We start from the raw sequence: 22,476 nt of genomic DNA on the forward strand, positions 1-22,476 counted from the left end.
TCTAGTATTGTGTAGACTGCAAGGGATAAAACATATGTGATTGAAACATTTGAAATATATTTTCCTCTTGTAAGACATGTAAGTCCAAATGAAATACACATATACATATGTAGTGGGTTTGTAAATTTAACCAGATGTACAGCAAAGAAAAATTTCTTTTTTTGTAATAATGTAGTCTTTTACATCCCCTGCTCATTGGAAGGCAGGAAAAATATTAACTAAATATCTAGGAACCTGTGGTTTAGCGGCAAATATCTGAGCTGCAGTGATGAAGACATAGAAGATACTGGGTTACCCATTCTTTCTTGTAATTTGCCTTAAAGCTTTCACTGCTGCAATAATTTTATCAGTTTCTTTAAAATTATTATTTTTTTCCAAATATCCTCTCTATCTGATAGCATCCAGCTGAACAGGGTGGAGGGATGTGAGACTTACTACACACCCTCCTAATACTGAGAGGAAGAAGCTTTGTGCTTCAGGCTGCTGTTGGGTGTGTTGAGGCTGTAGTTCATTGATGTCTGAGGTCATGACTCATGTTCACAGACCGCTGAATGTCCTGTTGGCCTCTGATATTGGAATCTGCTGCACCATGGTCCTCTCTTTGACTTGTACAGTGCTCATGATGGTGAGCCATACCTGACTTGGTCTCACCTAGGATCACCTTTAACCCCTCTGAGCTCTGGCTGAGAGCTGCTCTTGGTAGTTGTTGTAGTTTGAACATTTGTGTCCCCAAACCGCCTGTTGAAATTTGATCCAAATGTTTGAGGTGGGAGTATAATGGGAGGCGTTTGTGTCATGGAGGTGGACCCTTAATGAATATATTAATCTGCACCTTGGCTGTGGGGGTGAGTGAGTTCTTGCACTATTAGTTTCCCAGGAGAACTGGTTGTTTAAAAAGAGCCTGGCACCTCCACCCCTCTCCCTTCCTCTTGCTTCCTCAACCTTCCTCTTGCTTCCTCTCCCACCATGTAGTCTCTACACAGGCCAGTGCCCCTTCACCTTCTGCCATGAGTGGAAGCAACCTGAGCCCTCACCAGAAGCAGAGACTGGCACCATGCTTCTTATGCAGCCTACAGAACTGTGAGCCAAATAAACCTATTTTCTTTAAAAATTACCCAGACTCAGGTTTTCCTTTAGAGCAACACAAAACGTAGTGAGACAGTGGTCCACTCCACAGCTCATACTACAGTCACTTCACCTAGTTATGATGACTTCCTTGGGAAAACATGGTAGCTACTTCTGGGTCTCATGTATACAGCACAGGTTTGGGAAGGATAAATGTCAGATCTTCCTTTTTCACATGGCTTGTTGCCTCTTTTACTTGGATGTGGTTGTATTCCACATTAGTGAAAATAATCTGCAAAGTGGCCTACTCTTTGAACACTAATTAGAGAGTTTGTTAGAGGTGAGGGGCATAAGGAGAAGAGCCTCTTTCTGCCTTCAGTACTATTCCCAGTTGTCTAACAATCCACTCCCTTTCCAGGTAGTCTGTAGAGACTAAATCAGGGAGTGTCTTCTCATCTGACTCCTGAGGACAAGCGTTTTCTCTTATTCTCGTCTGAACTTCCCTCCAGCCTACCAAGTCTGGCTTTCAATATGCTAAATTTGGACAATTTTTCTTAATATAAGAGACTAGCTTGCAGGATTATTGTCTTGCCACAAAATCTTATACAGTGTATTTGAATGTCAGAAACTGAAAATTACCTTATTTCCTTTTCATATTCCATGTTCAGCCTTTCTAATCTTCTCCCTAGGAAGACAGATGTCCCAAGTCAATAGAAATGAAGGACCTGTACTTGAAAATACAAAAGAGAAAGTGCATTAATTATTCTCAATGATTCAGCATTGTAACACATACATATGTGCAAATAAGAGAAAATGAATATACTTTTGGATGGAGACTAGTGTTTCATTTACTCGGTATTCCCATAGACTTTAGAATATGTACTGGAGCTTAGAAGTTGACTTTGTATTTGTGCTTTACTTTACTTACCCAATAAACATTTTCAAATAACCAATTATAAGCCAGGCCCTTGCCATAAAAAGAGTCCATTTCCTTTTGGAGGGCTCAAAATCTATTGGTAGAGAAACTGAATAGGTAAGTAGTAACTCTCACACAAAAAAGGCATGAAAAGAGGTATATAGGTGGCACCATATGAGCAGAGAAAAAACATGTAATTCAACCTTTGATGTCAGGGAAGTGGTCCAGAGAATATCACATTTTAGATGAGTCTTAGTGGATGTCTTCTTTAAGAGGAAAGGGATGGGATAGGTTGGGAGTCATTCTAGGCTTAGGGAGAGCATGTGCAAAGGTAACAAAGATATGTCACTTTTATATTTCTATATGGCTGGAGTACATGGTACACTGGGTACACACTGGGATGCTTTCCATAGTGGTGGTGGACGAGGAAGAAACTGTAAGTGAGCCCAAGGCCAGATCTAAACTGGCTTGCTCAACATGGGAAACAAGTTTAGCTTCATCTCAAGTGATATATGTGGCAGTGAACATTTTTAATCAGAGTGATAATATGCTTAGATAATCGTATTTGAATTTAAGAAAGGTCAGTGTGGAGGATGCATTGGAGGAGGTGGGGCCGGAAGCTGGAAGACCAGTTAAGGGGCTATTCAGTTAAAGCAGATGTGGTAGTTATTCATGCTGTGCAACCACAAATATTTCTAGCTTTCTTTCTTTTGGGCACATGGCATGATTGCTCTGCTCCCTGCGAGGCTGGGTGTAGCTGTGTGACTCGCTTTAGCTAATGAAATGTTAGCTGAGGTGTCATGTGTCATTTCTGGGTGGAAATTTTAAGAGCCAGTGCATGATTCATCTTGTTTTTTTGCTCCTAACTTGGTGATAATGGAGCTTCCATTAGGAACTTAGCCAGGGTCCCTGAGTGGTTATGATAAACAGAGCTCCAGGTGATGCATGCTGGATATGTCGTATACATAAGAAATTTGTGTTAAGCCACGGAGATTTTGGGGTTATTTGTTATCACTGCATGACTTAGACTATTCTGACCACCAGGTCAGGGGAAACAGGGGCCTGAAATAATAGCATGGCAGCAAAAAGGGAGAGGAGTGACAAGTTCAAGAGATGTTAAGGTGGTAGAAGAGACAGAGTTTAGTAAAAGACTAAATATGGGGGAGAGAGAGAGGAGAGCCTAAGATGACCATATTTCTGATCAGTAGGACCATGCCTATCTGTTCATGCACATTACTTTTTTCTTCCCCATTGAATCTAAGCTTTTTGAGAAAACCTTTTATAACTCTTGTGTACTATTTTTTATACTCATTCTCCACTCTTTGTCTCCCCCTCCAACTCTTAGACAGAATTAATTACACTCTTATCTGTTTCAATTGCTTTTGATGCACAACTTGACTATAGCATATCTTACAAGTCAAAGATATTGACAGTATTTCTGATGATGGTGACCATTTCTCCAGGATTTCTAAAAGCAGTGACCTTCTATAAACATTGATTAACAATTTTTTAATTGTCTTTTTAACATTTCACTCCTCACGGTTATTTCTGTTAGCCCTGCAGAAAAAAATAAGTGGAACTACAAATAGAACTATTATCTTCTCTCTTTAAAACGTTTTTAAAAACAATTTTGATCAAATTTTTGCTCAAACCATTGCATAGAAGGGGAATTTAGGATTATTTATAAATGTAACTTGCCCATGATGTCCCTCTCTCATTATCATGTGTAACGAAAAGTTGGCAGGATTTACTTTCTTTCTTAGAAAATTGAGCATCCAAAGGAAGAATAAAATTCTGCAAGAGGAATTCATTTAAAACACTTTTAAGTGAAAAAAATGCTAACAAAGATATAGTGTAGAATCCAATTCACGATTTTAAAAAGCACATGGCTCTTTCAGGCAATGTCAAAGCTCTTTCTGTAGCATATTTTTAAGAATCACAGAGGAAAGATTCGTGATTCTCAAATATGGGCTTTGATGTCTCCTTTCCATTCAGCCCTTGAGCTATTATTAAGAGTGTTTCCCAGAGGACCACTGAGGAGGTGGGCCAGTGGAAACCAACACCCCACCTCCACCTTTGCCTCATTGGAGCTATTGGGTCTCTTCTAATTTAGGATTGGAGCTGAGGAAAAGTGGAAATTATTTCTTACATTTAAGGGCTCAGCTTACCGCTGAAATTGCTTTTCATTTAATTCAAGCAGCAACTGATAGCACAGAACACTTAAACAAAATTAAACAGAAATCTTTCACATTTTGAGAGGCACTTATGTGTGCTTTGTGTGTTTTCTTTCCTCCCCTTCTTCTCCCTCTTTCCCTCCCTCCTTCCCTCCCTTCATTCCTTCCTTCCTCCCCTCCTTCCTTCCTTGTTTCCTTTTTCCCCTCTTGCCACTTAAATAGAATTTTCCCAGAGAAAAAAAGCAGAATAGCTTTCATAGATTTCCTGTATTTCCTTTGGCACTTGGAGTTATGGGAGAGAGGGTGATTGATATTACCGAGGGTTGGAGCTCAGCTTCCCCCTCTGTTTACTGCTGTTCCTTCTCGCACCTTAAACTACCTCCTATGTATTTTAGACAGGTCAAGTCATTAACAAACATTAGTAGAATTCTGGATAGAAGTAATTGTATTTAACTTGTAAAATTTATACCTTTGTATGTTGTATGTCTGTGGGTCTGAGCAATCACACACATCTTTAAAAAGAGAGAGAGCTAGAGAGAAATAAAATCATCACACCATAATGGGAAACAAAATTTCTGAGCAGAATGGACTGTCAGATCAAACTCCTCCTAAAGCAAACAATAATTGCCTTAATTTTTGTGGATAGTACAGTTGGCTAAAATAAGCTAACCAGATTTGTGAACTGAACATCATCGAAGATTTTTGTGATGCAGGCAGCAGGGTTGTTGAAGTATTGCCAGTGAGTAGAAGTGGTTTTGTGGCCACTGGGCCCCTTGCCCACCTTTCTGGGGCCTAATGGTGCAGATGTGAGGCATGAAGGAGTCCGGGCCATTGGAACGGCAACAGGGTGGAGGGGAAACAGACCAGGAGAGCTGGAGCATCTCACTGCCCAGATTGTTTGCAGCAGACAGCAAGAAAGTCCATTAAAAAGATGGTACTGGCCTGATATATCTGGGGCATCTAGTTGCCTTAGGCTAAAAGTACTCTCAACGTATTTTACTGCTTCTCCAAAGCAAACAATTGTTTAATTAGTAAAAATAAAAAAGCTACTTAGAGGAGGAAAGATTGAGGGACGTATTTTCGACTTAAGTAATACTGAATTAAAAATGGTCTCTCTCATCCTGTCTGCTGACATTCATTTTTTAGCAGAAAAGTGAAGACACATTGTAGGATGCCCAGAATTGCTGAATCCATCCTTCAGAATTGCATTCACAGTCAGCCTCTTAGAGAAAGCCGTGTTGGAGCTCTAGCTCTTCACCAACGAAGGCAAATGTAGAGCTACAGCAGGACCTACTGGCTGCCTTCTGAAAGGCCTGAAACAGGTAGTGCTTTTCTTAGGCACAACCTGGGGGCTTGTGTGGTGCTGATGCCAGTGGAAGGAGGGCAAGAGGGGTCCTAAGAAAGAGGAATGTAACTGGGAAAAGAAGAGTGAGAACTACTGAGGGATAAATAATTTAGAACCTTTCCAAAGGAAGCAGTAAATAACAACTTCTTAATGTTTTCTATGGAAGAAAAAAGAGCAACACTTAACATCTGTACATATCGGGTTTTTTTTTTTTGAAAGAGAAAGCTTTACAAAGAGTAATCATTGAAATGGAAAAAGCAGAAGTGGTTTGCCTAGTGAACTGGGGAATGGCAGAGGGCTAGGGTCTGTACTCACCAGGGTGTGTGTGTGTGTGTGTGTGTTTGTGTGTGTGTGTGTGTGTGTGTGTGTGAATCTTGATGTGCATTGAAAAATATAATAGAAATTGGTAATGGTTTCCTCCATCTTACTTTCTGACATAGTTCCTGGGGGCTGGGGAGCATATCCCCTCTTCATGAACATCAGGAAAAAAAATAGAGGAAACAAAATATAGGGCAGCAGACTTTGCTTATCAAACAACTAGCTTCCCTCTTTTGAAGTACAAACTGAAGCCCATGAACTTGGGCCAGTACTGGCGTATGGCCTTCCCTTTTAGTATTTTGTGTGTGTGTGTGTGTGTGTGTGTGGCATGCGTGTGTGTCATTTACAAATGCAAAGATAACAGCAAGTTCTTAGTTGGCACCAAATGGGGGACCGTTAAGTATGAGAAATGATGTCGATTTATCATTATATTATGCCTCTGACAGCGAAACACACCTGTACTTTTTATGTAATTTATTGACTGGTTATAGATGCTGTGCGAGAGAGGAAAAAATTAGCGCAGCTTTAATTACTCATGCTGCTGGTTAAAATATTAATGGGGCACAGAGTGTTGCATGCTCATTTCTGTTGATTTTTAATTAGCAGTAATTCATTTTGCACAAAGCATGTTGATGCCTTTGCCGGAGACATTAGCGAAGAAGCTGAATAAAGATGTTTTTGAGAGAGCTACTGTGCATACAGAATAAAGAGTGCCTGCTTCCTGTCTTGTCTGATAAAAGTTGGGCAAAGTGGGAGACAGATGATGAAACCAAACAATACCAAAGAATCACGGTATATAGTTTAAGTCTCAGGCCTGATCCAATTTGGAGTTTTCCTAAAACCTTCATTTTTGCACACTTTTTGCCCCAGAGGCCGTTATGTGGGTTATTTTGTTTGATTCCAGAAGACTGAAACAAAATCTGAAACACAGACTTCCTTTACCCCTTTTTTCAGTGAATGTCATGATGATATTTTGCTTAATGGAGAAAAATAGGCTGGCATGTGGGTTTTGTATGTGATCTCCTTGACAGGGCTGTAGGGGTTGGGTGAGTTGTTGACCCCTGAGGAGGAAGAGGACAGAGCATTTCAGGTAACTTCTTTTACCTGATAGATACAGGGAAGCCATGGATTTTCTATAATGTGGTGGATAGCTTTCCTTCATGTATCACATTCTAAAATTATTGTTGTGTATAAAGAGACTTCTAACCATGAGCCTCATTCTGTGAAGAATATAGTGAGGTCATTTTTGGCATAGGGAAAGTGGGAGACAAAAATTCAGCTGAGGACATAGTAAAACATGTTTTCTGGATTCTGCACACATTCAGAAATTGTTTCCTTGTCATTTTCCCCTCTTCCTCAGCCTCTCGCTTTGGTTCCAAAGCGGTCCCAGGGTAAATGCCCAAATAAATTCCCTCAGATTCCACTTGCTTTCAGCACCCCACCCGAGTGCATTTTCTGAGGCTTCCAGCCTGCAGAGTCTCAGTCAGCAACATCCTGTTCTAGGATCAGAAGCATGGATTTAGAAGGAAGCAGTGAGGTGATCTAATCCAACCTTCCTTCCAAGCTGGAGTCCCCTTTACAACATCTCCAATAAGCAACATTGATACCCACTTTCACCAGCTACTCCTGTTGAACATGGATGGGGAGAGTTCAGGGGAAAGTGAAAATAAGACACTGTCTCCCCCATATCTTTCAGCTTTAAAGAAATATTTACGGGCAATCCCATTCTTCAGCAGTACCGATTTTCTTCCTGGAACATACCAGGGATGCCAGGAGGAAAGGTGAACTTGGCCTCTTGGATCATTTGTCTTCACTGTACTATTGATCTTCACTAGGCTACTGGGTTTTCTATCACTCCTTTTAAAAAGTTCTTTTTGGCTTCTATATTTCTATTTTTCAGACTTCTATCCAACATCCTCAATCCAATAGGGTGGAAATTTAGGGCACTTTTATCACAACCCTTCTTGAATAAAGCTTTTGAAATGGTAACCTTTTCAGACAGCGTGGTAGAAAAAAGTTAATCTATCTAGAAGCCATATAAAAAGAAAACCAGAAAGGTGTTGGACATTTGGAAGATGACAAAAATATCCTTACTTTTGTAGAATACTCACAGAAATGAATGTCAGAAATTTCACAATTTAAGAAGCTCTTGCAAGGTGTGGCAGAAAGGAGTAAAGGAAAGTGAAAACAGAGTTCCGTGCACCTAGTTTACTAGAAATGGAAGTTTGGGAAGCTTTTGGTCACCTGCTACATAGACACACAACTGAGTCAGTTCTTCCCGTGGAGCGGGAGCTCTCTGAAGGCCAAGCCTGGGTCTTCATGTTAATTTCTGTTGACCATGAAACTCTTTATGCACGGGCATCATTTGTAACTTTGCAGAACACTTCTCGGAGCAGACAGGGACCTGAAGCTAACTGAGTTCTTTTTTTCTTGCTTTTTTCTTTTCTTTTTTTTTTGTCACTTAATCAGTGCTTAATAAGTTCTTGTACAATAAGATTAAATATTTTTAAAATACAGAAAACTATAGAGAAACACAAGTTAAATATCAATGTATTATCACGTAGAACTAACATATTCCAGTATTCTTTTTTTTGCTTCAATCTTTTTCATTTTTCATGAAAGAATGAAGACAATCCAGATTCAGTTAAGTCTTTCTAAAATATATTCTGACATTGTTATCTTCTTTCTCAATCTCAAAGGCAGCCACAATCATGGGTGCTATGTTTATTATTCACATACATTTGTTATATTTAAATTAGACATGTATATATTTTTCTCATATATAGTATTTTACATATGCATGAAACTGCAATTTGTATTTTTCACTCCACATTATGCTTTTCAGAGATTTAGCCATATTCATACACATAATGTAAATTATTTTAATTGCCATATAGTACTTCATTATATACAAACACAGCAACTTAATTCGCTCACACTTTAATGATGGACATTTTAGATTTCTTTTTTTTTCTTTTTAGAAACAATGATGTGATGAACTTTTTGTTCTGTACATGTGCAATACAGTTTTTAAAAAGAATTTATAGCCAGAAGTGGAATTGCTGGATTGTGCTAGTCATTGCTAGACTACTCTCCAAAGTGGCTCAATAGATTTATATGCCCATTGGTAGTTTATGATAGTTTGTACTTTTCCACAATCTGCTCAACACCTGATAATGTCAGACTTAAAAATTTTGCCAACAGATAGATAAAGTGGACAAATCATTTAGTGAGATTGAATATCTTCTCCTATGTTTTGTGAATCATTTAGATTTCTTATCGTGTGAATTTCCTATTAATATTCTCTGCACATTTTTTCACTGGGAGTACTTGGCTTTTTCTGATTGATTTGGAAGAATTCTTTGTATATTTTGAATACTGATCCTTTTCCATATATTTAGATTCCGTGTGTGTGTGTGTGTTTATATATGTGTGTGTGACAGTCTATGGCTTTTCTTTTGTTAGTTTTGTATGTGGTAATTTTACTGAACAGAATTTAGAATTTTCATGCAGCCAAATATATGAATCTTTTCCTTTATGATTTTATAAATTTTGCATTTTGTTTAGGAGATAATGTCCTAACATAACATTCTAACTAAATTCTCCCATATTTCCTTCTAAATGTTGATGTTTTATTTTCCATCCTTAAGTTTTTATTCTATTTATAATTTGTTGTTTATCTCTTTCAATATATATATGCACATGGAGCTATTTACTCCAAGGTATACTCCAGTAACTGGATGAGTCTGTCAGAATGGAATCTGATGCATATTAAAGGCTGCATTTAAAACCAGAGTCACCTCTAACCCTTAGACAGGACCAATTGAGAGTTCCCTCAGAGTCTGCTGCCCCCTCCCACTATTTGGTCAAGGGTGCATTCACACTTGTCCTTTAGATATATTTTATTGTCACATGACTGTATCAATATTCTATTCTCTTTTCTGCCAAGAAATTTCTCTATTTCTCTGTAGATTTGGGGATACAGTAGATATAAGGCAGCAAATTTATAATCAGACTCCACTCAATGGCCCTCAAGACCCAAAAGCCGATGGACATACAGGTGAAGAATTGACACATTGCCTCCCACCAATAAAGGCTGAACTCCCAGACCAGCCAGAATGTCCAGCTGTGTAGTTAATGGAGACTAAACATGTCTTTTCTGTTGATGCTTTTGTCTGATAAAATTTCTCTGTAAATATGGAGTGACTTTCACCTATATTCCTTTCAGAGGGCTATATTTGGTGATGAATTCACTGTCCTGTAAAAATATGTATACATTTACCCAGCCAGATAAGAAGGAAAGGAAAAGAAGGCACTGGTATTTGTTGATAGCTAAACATTTGAGGCTTCAAATACATTTCCTTGGATAAAGTGTACATTATAGAGAAACTTTTAGTTGGTAGCTGAATCCTTTATCTATTACTGTGTAACAAATCACCCCAAAAGTCAGTGGCTAAAACACCATTTATTGTTTCTAATGGGTCCATATTTTAGCTGAGCAGTTCAGCTAATCTGTGCCAGGTTTGGCTGAGTGTGTCTGGACTTGCTTATGGGTCTGTGGTCAGATGGTGGGTTAGGTAGAAGCTTCATAGTCTAAGAAAACCTTAGCTAGGAAGGCTAGGATCTGCTTTACAGGATCTCTCATCATCTGATAAACAATCCTGGTATTGATCACATGGCAAAAGCAGAGGTCCAAAGAATGAGTGAGTGAAAGCATGCAAAGGCTCTTGAGGCCTAGGCTTGGAATTGGCACCCTGTCACTTCTTCCCCCATTCATTCTTTCACCAAAGCAAATCTCAAGCCCAGTCCCCATTCAAAGGTAGGGAAATCAACTCTAATACTTGATGGAATGATTTGCAAAGTCACGTTGTGAAGGGTGTGAATACAGGGAAGTTATTAATTGGGCTGTCAATTAATCTACCACAGTAATTATCACAGATGCCCTACAATGTTGCTTACTACCCAGGTTGCCTGGTCGGAAACTTTGGGCCAATGTTCACTAAGATGAGCATCCATTTATTGACCACATTAAGTGCATATGAGATAGATAGATAAGCAAACGTATGATAAGTGTTATGAGGCAAAAGTTCACAGGCTAAATAATCATCTAAAAAAAAGACTTGACCTAGGCTGAGAGGTCAGGAAATCCTTTATTGAGGATATAACGTGGCATTGAACTCTGAAGGCTGAATAGGAGAAAAGGCCCAGGCATGTACAAGGCACCAAAGCAGGTAGGAATATGGCCCTTTGGAAGAGCAGAAAAGAGGCAAGTGTGGTTGAAGCAGGAAATTGCAGGGATGCAGTAAAGATAACCTGCCCCTATTTTGCAGGCCTTCATGTTTAGGCCATGTTAAAGATGGGAGTTTTTAATCCTCAGAAAAATGAGAAAGTTTAAAGGCCTTTAAGAGAGAACCCAGATCAAATTTCCATATTCATAGAATATCCCTGACTGCTAAAGGGAGAATGCATGCAAGGGCCTCAAGGGAAGATAAGGAGTGATAAATTAGAAAGATATTTCAGATGAAATGTGAAAGAGGCTTAAATGAAAGTTGTCACAGTGGAAATCAAGAAGGGAAAGGCCCTAGTAATATTTTAAGAATGAAATTAATGGATAATGAGAAATAGACTTGTTTATGGCCTCTGCAACTATGTAAATGGACGTGTTATTGACTGAGTTCAGAAATATGAGAGAAGGTTCAAGATGAGGGGAAAGACCATGAGTTTGGCTTAGTGTAAGTGCCTTTGAGACATCCAAGTGAAGACTGGAAGATATCTGAGCTGGAGATGTACCTCAGGGAGTCATAGGTATATAGAGAGTAATAGAAGCCATGGACATCAATAGCTCCCTGAGGAAGAGAGTTGATAGTAAGAAGGCAGGAAGCTCCAGGATCAAGCCTTGAGAAACTCTGAAATTGAAAGCTGGGTAGAAGAGGATGAGAATATACTAAGGAGAAGTATCTAGATAGGTAGGAGGAAAGTCAAGAGAGTGTGGTCTTATGGATGCCAGGGGAACAACAGTCCATGCTGTTGACTATTACTGAGTGATCAAGGAATTTGAGAGTGAAACAGCCCATTGGTTGTAGTGACGTGGAGGTCATGGCCAACTTCATTGAGAATAGTATAGGTGCCGAGCAGTGGGGCGTATGAATAGAGAAAATTAACAAACAGACCCTTCTAAATGCCACACTGGTAGTTTGCTTCAGAGGATTCACCTCTGAAAATTCAATGGAAGTCTTGAGATGTTATAATTCCCCTGTTTACTTTGTCTGCCATCTTCCTCTACAGTTTGGTGAAACAAATTCATAGGATTTTAAATTTGGCCCCTTCATATTAGTGTGCATGGGAAGAAAAGACTAGGAAACTTTTAGCAAGAATGTGAGAGAAAGGATGTTCACCTTTGTGTATCTATTCTCTTGGTAATACCTGGAATTATGTTATTTCCTATATCTACTCAAGCTTACGTTAAGTACTCATTAATATTTGTAAGTAGTAAGGTAAGTATTCCATTAATGTTGTCTGTTAGTAATTTAGGACCTCAGACTCCTCAGAATCTTTTGTTGCTCTCCCGGTGCACTCCTTCAGATCTCAGTGTTATTCTAAGTGCAGTCATCTGGTTCTACAGAAGTATTCACACAATAATTAAAAGGAAGGAAAAGCTATTGTCCTGTTAATATTAATGTATAATTCTGGTGTCTTGCTTTATGTCCAAAGCTATAATTGTATACCAGAAGACCCTCTTTCTACTTTTGCTTTTCGGTTCTTCTCTTTGCATGGAGATAAATTCTTATCAAGGCTTTTGCCTTTCCCACTTTGAGTCATTTCTCTATGTAGTACAGCAACATCTTTTCTCAATGATTCATCTTTGTATTTCACATATGCAGTATTTCCTCATGTATCCTATGATTTAAAAATATGTCCCAATTGTTGCTAATTGTTTTTTTTGGAAAAATTACCACTGCTAAGAACAGTGACAGTGAGAAACAATAAGTGGTCTCTATTTACTAGGTAGATTTTTACAAATGCTTTAGTAAATGGCCTGAGAATACTTCATAAGGAACAACCCTCTAAGAAGGAAATATATTTTTATTTAAATCTCTTACTAATACTCAGGGTGTTTCATTTTTCCTCCCAACTTTCTTCCTTGTCTTGGTGACCTCATCATCAGTCACATGTCACCAAACTGAAGAAATTAAATCTGCACCTTGGTGGCAATACTGATCCCACCACATTGACAGACAGTTCTTTTGTCCTTTGGCCGTGGGGAAGTCCTATTAAGCCATCAAAGCTCACAGCTGGCATGTGGGCTGGTTGAAGAGGAAAGAACAAGACAGAGCTTTTATTTTTTTTAGATGGGATTCCCTTTCCTTGTTACTTTCTCCATTTTCATTCATGGGAAATGGTATGCCTCGTCGAAGAAAATGCTCTAAATATAAGAGAAGAAAGTAGAATAAAATGAGTCACTGGGAGATCAGGGATTTCTGTCTGGGAATATTTATCTTTTTAAGGCTGTCAGAGTGCATGTTTCTGCTTGTTGTTAGAATCCTGATCATTGGTCACATGGCTTCTGTTTTATTAATAGTGGGCTGTACTTTTCTGGAGGATAGATTGGCTTCTAATAGCTGCTTAAATCCATGTGGAAACTAAGCAAAGCAGGGAAGAAGGAGCAGCAGTCTGTAGTTACAGGCTTCCGTGGGTAGCAGAGTGATTGAATAGAACAGCGCTGCCATAAACTGATGAAGTGAGGGCCAGCTGCTGGCCGTTGCCTGCCCTGCACCAGGTCTGTGGCCATAGGCATGTAACTTACCCAAAGTTCCATTTCCTCCACTGTAAAATGGGCCTAGTAATAATGCTTACCTCATATAGAGTGGTTGTAAGGATTCGATGAGTTAATACATGAATAGTAGCTGCTACTTAGGACTACAGGAGTGGTTTGTTGAATAACACATGGGTTCTCTCTGTCACTAAGAATGTCCTAGTAGTTAATGATTTATTGACTGATTTCTCTGGGTCAGGCATTGTGTTTTACGTGCTTTAATTTTTTTCATTTAGCCTTCACACAATTCATAAGGAAGATACCGTATGATAGTATCCTCATTGTATGGATGAGAAACTTGGGATTGAGAGATATTAACTTTCTTTTCATGATCCATACAGATACCTAAGTAGCAGGACTCTAACCCTAGGTTCCTGAACACTGTAGCACACCACCCTCACCAGAAGACTTGCAGGGAGCCTTCCTGCCCATCATGTAGTGTATTTTCACTCTCTAAAACTACACACACTAGGGTGAGTGCTTGAGCCAGAAAATTCAATTCAACTTTTTGAGCCAAGATAACTGATATAAGTGATAACCCCTTTTTGATAGAGGAGTGCGGACTTGGATTTCAGTCCTAGTTCTATTCCCTACTGACTCCGTGACCTTGGGAAGTGTATTAGTCTGTTTTCACACTGCTGATAAAGGCATACCGGAGACTGGGCAATTTACAAAAGAAAGAGGTTTAATTGGATTTAGAGTTCCACGTGGCTGGGGAAGGCTTACAATCATGGTGGAAGGCAACGAAGACCAAGTCACATCTTACACGGATGGCAGCAGGCAAAGAGAGAGGGAGCTTGTGTAGGGGAACTCCCCTTTATAGAACTATCAGATCTCATGAGACTCACTCACCATCACGAGAACAGCATGGGAAAAACCCACCCCCACAATTCAGTTACCTCCCACTTGGCCCCTCCCACAAAATGTGGGAATTCAAGATGAGATTTGGATGGGGGCACAGCCAAACCATATCAGGAAGGTTACTTAATTTTACCAAAACTTAGTTTCTCACATTTATATTATGTCCATAGATTCTTCTTCCTAGGATAACTCTGAGGATTGGCTGAGATGCATATTAATAATACTTCACAAATAATGTGTTGCATTCTGTTGAGTAAAACTCAGATGGAGTTTTGTTGAGGGTTATCTGAATGGAAAATCTCCTGAGAGTTGATTTTGGGCTATGTTAAATTAACTATGTCACTATTATAGGAGAGCTAGTTATTCTAATCTGTCCTGCTCATTCAGCGTCCTACAAGTCCAGGCCTAGAGCCTGAAATAAGAAACTATTTCCATTCAGTGTTTTCAAGTAATTGGCCATCACAAGTAACAAGATGGTTTGTTGTAAATGCCAATAGTGATAGACTGAGTTTGAAAAAAGGAGGGAGGGGGGTGGGACTTATTGACCAGAGAAAAAACAAGCCAAAGCCTTGGCTAATTTGTGTAATCAGCTTTATCAATTTGCATAAATTGTGCATCAGGCTATATTCCTCTTGGGTATAATAAGCCCAAATTTAGTTTTTCTAATTTTAAAGTCATCAGTTGCTCTTTTTTTTTTTTTTTTTTTTTTTTGCTTCTTCTGTTCATTTCTGGGACTCGTGTGGGTCACACCTCCATGCATCTGTCAGGTGGTCTAATGCATCCCTAATTCTCGGGGACCCTGTCAGTGCCTTGCAGTAGCATCTAATGCTTATTTTCCAAAATTGGCCCAGCCTCGACCTTGGTCCTACACGCTATTTACGTCTCTATCTATATTTCGTGTGCCTCTTCTTTTGTTATGTCCTTGTTCAGATCAGGATGTGCCAAATATTTTTAAATGAACCCCTTCCATTTGCTGTGTTCTTCAATCATATCCTTTCAAATGACTCTGCCAAATTCTAGATTTTTCGCTAGCAAGCTTCTGTCCTAGATTCCACCTCTTGCTTTCTCTCATTACTTCTTTCTCAGCACTCATGACTTCTGCTAAGGATCTCTAGATAGTTCCAAAAGGTCTCAGAAAGTTTTTATTCTTCTTTGAGGTTTAATAGATAAACTGTAATGATTTTAGGGCTACAATATAGATCCCTTTTACCCCCCTCTTCTAACCTTGTGCTACTCTCTCAGTTCAACCCCTCCCCATATTTTTTCTGCATAGTTTTTGGGGTATTCTCACTGACATCTCACAGATATCAATTCATCTTTCATATTTGCCACCACAATCTGAGCTTGGAAATGATTGAAATATATCTAATCAAAAGAAGTGAGTATAGAACTTGTTCACCAACTATAGTAATTAGAAAACTAGTGAACCTGCTTGAAACTAGCAAGAATTCAAGAACAAACATGAGAAAACACTGTTTTATATAGCATGTAGGTAGCATAGACAAGGTTATACAAGTTGAGAACATTAATAACTTTTAGAAGGCTTTAAACTTATGGATAATTCTTTAGACTGCATCCTTAACCTTTGGAGGGTGAGGTCACATGGGAGCCTGGGCCACAAACCATCTTCAAAAACCAAACACTAAGTTTGTGGACAATTCGTAAAACCCAGACAGTATTTCTTAAGATTTTACGCTGTCCAGAGGGCTGAACTTCTGACATAAAAATCTTTATCTCAAAGATGCAAATGTGAACCAAATGTCCTTTTTAAAACAGTAGCTAGTTATGGCACTAGAGATGTTTAAGCCCCAGGCTTTACAAACAATTTTATAATATCATTAGCCTAAAGATTGCCCCTGCCTCTATTTCATAACACCAACATTTGCAAATCTGGGCTTTTGCAATTTTTTCTGTTTCTTTCAATGTCACTGGAACTCTAGCATCTGCTTTCAGAGAATAAACTTTGCTTTCTCTCCTCAAACCCATGGAGAATGACAAAGGAGAGGAATGATGAACTTCTTTTATGCCCTTAGCCTCAGTCACGGCCAGCCTGATCATATTTCCTTTGGGTTCTGGCTATATTGGCCAATCATTTTCATGGCTGGTTTAAAGAGCATGTGCCTAATTTAGAGCTGCTGACACAGGGCAGGGAAACAGCCACCTGGCAAATGCCTTGGGCTTTGAATGATTCCACTAACTTGAAGCCTAGGCCAAGTTCCCCTCAAGTTGTACTGAGGTTTGTAAACCTTTTGGCAATGCTGGGCCAGGACTGGACCAGGTAATCAGAGTTTCATGGTCCTCAGCTAGGTGTGAAATTTTAATCAGAGGGATTTTATTTTTGCAAAAATATAAGGCACCACCAGACATGTCACATAGAATTAGGCACTGGATTCACTGAAGTTCAAGATGAGTCAGATGGTTTCTTACAAAATGGCAAATCCTGTCATCTTTGATGGGCCATTAAAAATAAATGGAATCAGCGTAGTTCTATTACCCCCTTCGTCTTATGGGGAAATATTACAGTATAATTTTTAGTTCATCCACATTTTAGAACTGGATAATTACTTTCCATTTTAATTGCAAGATGGCACAGAAAATGCATAAGCTTCAGCCCAAAAATACACTCTCTGATCCAGTAGATATTGTAGAAACCACTTGCTATTATATCCAATATGGTCTCCAGACGCACTCCAGACTCTCAGAAGTTCATCTAGAATGGTTTCAGCAATCCTTATATCTGAAAAATAAACACTAGACACAGAAGACATTGGGACATCAGGCTAAAGTGAGAGCAGGCTCTTACCCAGCAAGACAAAGCCAGAGCTGGCTCCTATACAAAGGGAATTTAAAGCTTAGTAAGGAAGCAGGGCTGACTGCTAATGTGGAGGATGGATGAGGAAGATGTCTCTGTGGCTTGATATACCAAACTCCACAGAGCTCATCCAGAGAGATTCTGGAGAGACAGAGTCCTTTGAGTATTCTCTGCCAGACCTCTGCCAAAAACTGAGACCAAGTCACCATATGCTGCCTATTACAGGGGTAATTCACATGAATGCCATGTGAACTAATTTCTTGCCATCTCTTCTTGACCTTGGGCAAGTCACCAGGTCTCCATGGGTTTTGTGGTAGCTTCTTCCTCTCTCTGACTGGGATGTGCAAGCCAGGGGTGGGAATGGCAGGTAATACTGGGCACAGAACAAAATGTGGCTTCTAGAATCAGACTGCTTGATTTGAATCCCGGTTCTGCACTTCCCAACTGTGTGACATTGGGAAAGTTACTTACTCTTTGTGTGCCTCAGTTTTGGCACCCATAAAATAGGGTTAGTGGTAGAATTCACCTCAAAGAGTTGTGAGGATTAAATAAGTTATAGACAAGAAGGCTTTAACTCAGTAATCCCTCAATAAATATGATGATAATGATGATGTCTCAGCCAAAGAAGCTATGTGGTGTATGTGTGTGTAACCAGAGAGAGGTGTGTAACTAAAGTGATTTAATAAGGGAGCCTGGGCCTAAGGTGTGTGGGCTGTGATAGAAAAGCATAAGTCCAGGGGACAGGGATTTCTAACCCCTCACTCCTTGAGTCTGAAGACAGTGATGGTACTGGGGATCTCAGGTCACCAAGGTCCATTTCTTCACTGACTACCAGTCTCCTGGTTTCAGGGGCAGGGGCTTGTTAATGTCACTGCCAGTTGTCTCACTGAGGAAAAACTAGACAATGGGTGGGACACAAGAACTAAGAACTAAAGGGGATGGGATTCCTTAGGGGTAACTGAGCAAAAGTTTTAACTTTCTCTTCTCAAGTGAAGAGATAGTCAGGACATGGGTCACTGGGCTGTTAAACATTCCTGGAGGGCTCAGAGAGATCCAAGGCGAGGCACCCTGGATGTGGAAGGGCCCAAAAAGCCTTGTAATGTGAATAGAACCTCAGTAATTCAAGCTAACAAAACTAGATCTGTTGTTTACATTTCTTCCCTCTTGAGGCTTGCATTTTCACAGGTGGGGCTGGCCATGAATATGGCCATTCCTTTATCTTTTTCTCCTGTTTCTCAGCCGTGATAGGATGCCTGTCGGTGATTTGATACCTGACTGTTTGGTGTGATTATTTATAATCTGCTCATGTTTTCCTTTTCCAAGTTTGTTCTATATCATTGTCATGAATACCTTCATAAGAACAGAAATAAGATAAATAAAAGAACTGCCTTATTTGTGTTTACCAGAATACTTAAAATTTGCTCTGAGCCATTCTTCATAGGAAAGACAGACAGGAGTACTGATTATACTTAGGTTTAAAAGTCTTAGTTGGCTGCATTTCTTTATCTCTCTCATCAGCACAAGTAACTTGACTGCAATCATTATGTTTTAAAATAAAAAGAGTGTTTTTAAAATTCTTAATTCTTTAAAATACCTCTAGAAAAGTCATATAGTATGTCTCTAATAGCTAAAATGAAGTAGCAGTTGATTCTTCATATCTTCTTACACACATTAAATGAAACATAATATTTTTGTGAGTTTTCTTGTTTAATGGAAACTATACTGTTAATTGCATTTGTAGAAAGGTGAGGAAGATGGAAATGTATCAGCTGAAGGTGACTCAGTTGAGGCAGGAAGTAAGGAAGCCTTTCCCTGAGAGAAAGCTTTGGTTAGCTTTTGTGCGTGGCTTGATTGGTCCATGTTATTGAGGGATGCTTGAGTACCATAGAGAAATCCTTCAACAACGTGAAGAGAACTTTAAGCCAATTATATACCTAAATTAAACATTGACAAGAATGTTAATTTAACAGACAAATTTTGTCTGTTAATGTTAACAGACAAAAACTGTTAGAGAAAGAGAACACAATTGGGACTTTTTATTTTAAATTGACATACTGTAAATTCTTTTGTATTGAGCATATAAATGCAACCAAACCCAGTAGTTTCTAACAGTTAATTTATGCATGTATTGAGTTTCAAATATTAATTTAGTAATTCAACAACTACTTGAATTTCTTTATCATGAATCTCTGCATTTCTGTGTCTTTCCTGTGCCTATCCCATATGTACTCTAGAGACCTAAGTAGCATGATATAGTTTTCTCATTGGTTTTCTTGGTTGGGATCATTTATTTTTAATATACCACCTTGTCAATATTCTTAATATTCTTGAATTTTCATTCATTTAATATATATTTTTCATCATTCTTGCAACAAACCTAGAATTATCATAGTTCTAGATATAGAAAATGCAGACTATGTTTACCCCTGAATTTAAAGAACTTTGTAATATTACCAAGAAGATAAAAATGCATGAAATGACAGTAGCTTGACAGTGTTAACTATCTGTGTAATATGGTTCCCAAGAAGAGAAATATTTTGATTGTCAGTTTGCATTGTCAAAGAGGGGACCATGGGCCGGGCTCGGTGGCTCACGCCTCTAATCCCAGCACTTTGGGAGGCCGAGGCAGGCGGATCACGAGGTCAGGAGATCCAGACCATTCTGGCTAACATGGTGAAACCCCATCTCTACTAAAAATACAAAAAATTAGCCGGGTGTGGTGGCGGGCGCCTGGAGTCCCAGCTACTCGGGAGGCTGAGGCAGGAGAATGGCCTGAACCCGGGAGGCGGAGCTTGCAGTGAGCCGAGATAGCGCCACCGCACTCCGGCCTGGGCGAAAGAGCGAGACTCCATCTCAAAAAAAAAAAAAAAAAAAAAAAAAAAATAGAGGGGACCATAGGAAGGTAGGAGTAAACTTAGGGGATGGAGGGAGAAATTCCAGGCAGAAAGATTGGCATGCCCTGAGGCTTGTGTCATCGTTAGTATTTTGATTGATTTTATTACCTTATTGGAACAGGCTGCCTATATGGATGTGGGGCTTAGAATGGGCCACACTCCCTCGAACCCACCCAATTTGAGATTTAACTCTGCGATTTCCCATCATGAACTAAGAGTAATTTGAGACCTGAGACCATGTCCTTTTCATTTCTCTGACTCCAGTGCTGGGCACTTAGAGGTTATCAACTGAATGAAGGAATCTTTCAAAATATAGAATTTCCCGATGCAGCTTGCCTGAGAGATCAATCAATCAGTGCTTGGACAGATCCATTGATTTGAAGCTCTCTTCTTCGCAAATCCATGCCATTGTTGGACTCTTGATTTCTAAAAGCCCTTTTCAAATAATGAATTGAAAATTACATCCAGCAGCTTCTGCCCACTGGTCCTGGTTGTGCCTTCTGGAGCCAATTTGGCAGCCCCACAGCTCGTTCAGGTGGCAAAACATTTTCGGCCTGGTCCATTTTGGCTCAGGTTGTATAGACACACCCATGTGCCTGACTTCCTTTGGGATGTTTTGCAAGATTATTTATCAGTATGGCCCAAAACCAGACAGGACAGCATGAGTGGCCTGCACCTTTTGTTCTTTTTTGGTGGAAGAGAAAGACACACTGACCCTCCTAAAATCCCCACAAACCCTGGCAAGTCACTGGTTCTGCTGTGAATACATTGATGGGAGTGATTCTAAGAGGCATGCCTTCCAAATCCTGGGACATTTTGAATCCCAGCTGCCTGCTACCTTAGCAGGGTAGCCTCTGCTTTCCCTCTAGGGACAAGAAAAGAGCTCCTTGAACACACTGGCTAATCTATATTTTTATTTTGTTTTTCAAGGCAAATTTTAATAACTTCTGTAAGTGTCGTCTTCCTATTTGGCAGTTTGTGACCTGAGGTGATACCTACCACTTTGGCCAGAATATCCAGGCAGCAGGAGATGCTAGCAAGCTAGGCAAGATGGGGTTGCAGTAAAATTTTTTTCTTTCTCCTCCATCCAAACTGTTTTTCCCTGGGACTTTTTCCCAAGCGACATGTCAGCTGTAAAAACACGAATCTTCCCTCTCCTGGTGCCCTGTGCCCCCCCACCACCTCCCAAAACATATGCTATTTATCAAATCTAAGAATAAAAAGAATGCAATTTCAAGAAAGCTTTTAAAGATTTCAATTTCCTTAAAAAAAAAAAAAGACAAAGCACATGTGATCGTCTCGAGGTGTCATGCTGAGTGTTTGCTGTTTGACACTCAGCTGTCATTAACAGCTAAGCATTATTCTTATTTTGTCGGTAGAAATAATCAGGGTCTCCACACATGCCACATGTTTAAATCAGTGATATTAAGAGTCTCCATTCAGTGAAATTTGCTGACTGCACTGAACTCACAGTTTGTGAAGCAGCTTTGTGCTGGTTGAAGGGGAAGAGAGCTCTGGCCATTTCTGGCGAAAAGCAGGTCTTGTTTTTCATTACTCCCTGGGTGATCACAGGATATCTGATGTAGTGGGGTCCAGTATGGCCACATGTGGCTATTAAGCATGTGAAATGTGGCCGAAGACATGCTGTAAGTGTAAAATATGACACTATTTCAAAAATTTAGTATAAAAAAGGAAAAATCTCATGAGTGATGTTTTATATTCCATGTCAAAACAATTTTTTGATGTATTGGGTAAGAAGAAATATTATTTAAGTTACTTCCACCTGCTTATTTTACTTTTATAAGAATTGCTACTATAACATTTAAAATGACCTACATATTGATAGGACCATACTGATCCCAGAGAGGCAGGGAAGGTGTTGCCCAAATGGAAATCCATGATTAATCCATTGTCACCTCATGAATGTAATTTCTTAAAACATTAAATGACATATTTTCTCCTGAATTGAAAAACATTATTTTATTTATCCAGAAATCTATGACCATGTCCTTGTTTTGGTACAGGTTAAAAGGAAGTGAGTTTTGTTAGCCGTTTTAGTCCATGAGAATGCAATGTGTAGTGTTCACGAGTGTAGTGTTAGCAATCATGTCTCTAAATTTCATAGACTGCTCAATGGGGCTCTTCCCTCTGCTTTAGACTTTCTGCTTCCAGATATGGCTTTGTTTGCATGATTCTATGGATCACATATCTGAGTGTTACTTAAACTTCCAAACCCACTGGACTAGAGATGAAGTACCTAGATCTTGAGAAATCAGGG

At 39.4% G+C, this 22,476-nt stretch overlaps 1 long non-coding RNA gene across 1 annotated transcript in view, besides 1 other annotated feature; it reads left to right on the forward strand.

Annotated features, from left to right (window-relative positions):
* The window catches only part of BALR6 (B-cell acute lymphoblastic leukemia associated long RNA 6), a 306,371-nt gene that overhangs the window by 159,370 nt on the left and 124,525 nt on the right, over positions 1-22,476 (forward strand). The window lies entirely within an intron of this gene.
* Positions 5,949-6,824: an enhancer, noted in NCBI's record as "VISTA enhancer hs250". NCBI's record gives its function as "enhancer in: heart[5/12]" and the evidence as "EXISTENCE:transgenic organism evidence [ECO:0001131][PMID:17130149]".

Source organism: Homo sapiens, chromosome 3 (genome assembly GCF_000001405.40).
Source record: "Homo sapiens chromosome 3, GRCh38.p14 Primary Assembly".
Taxonomy (NCBI): Eukaryota; Metazoa; Chordata; class Mammalia; order Primates; family Hominidae; genus Homo; species Homo sapiens.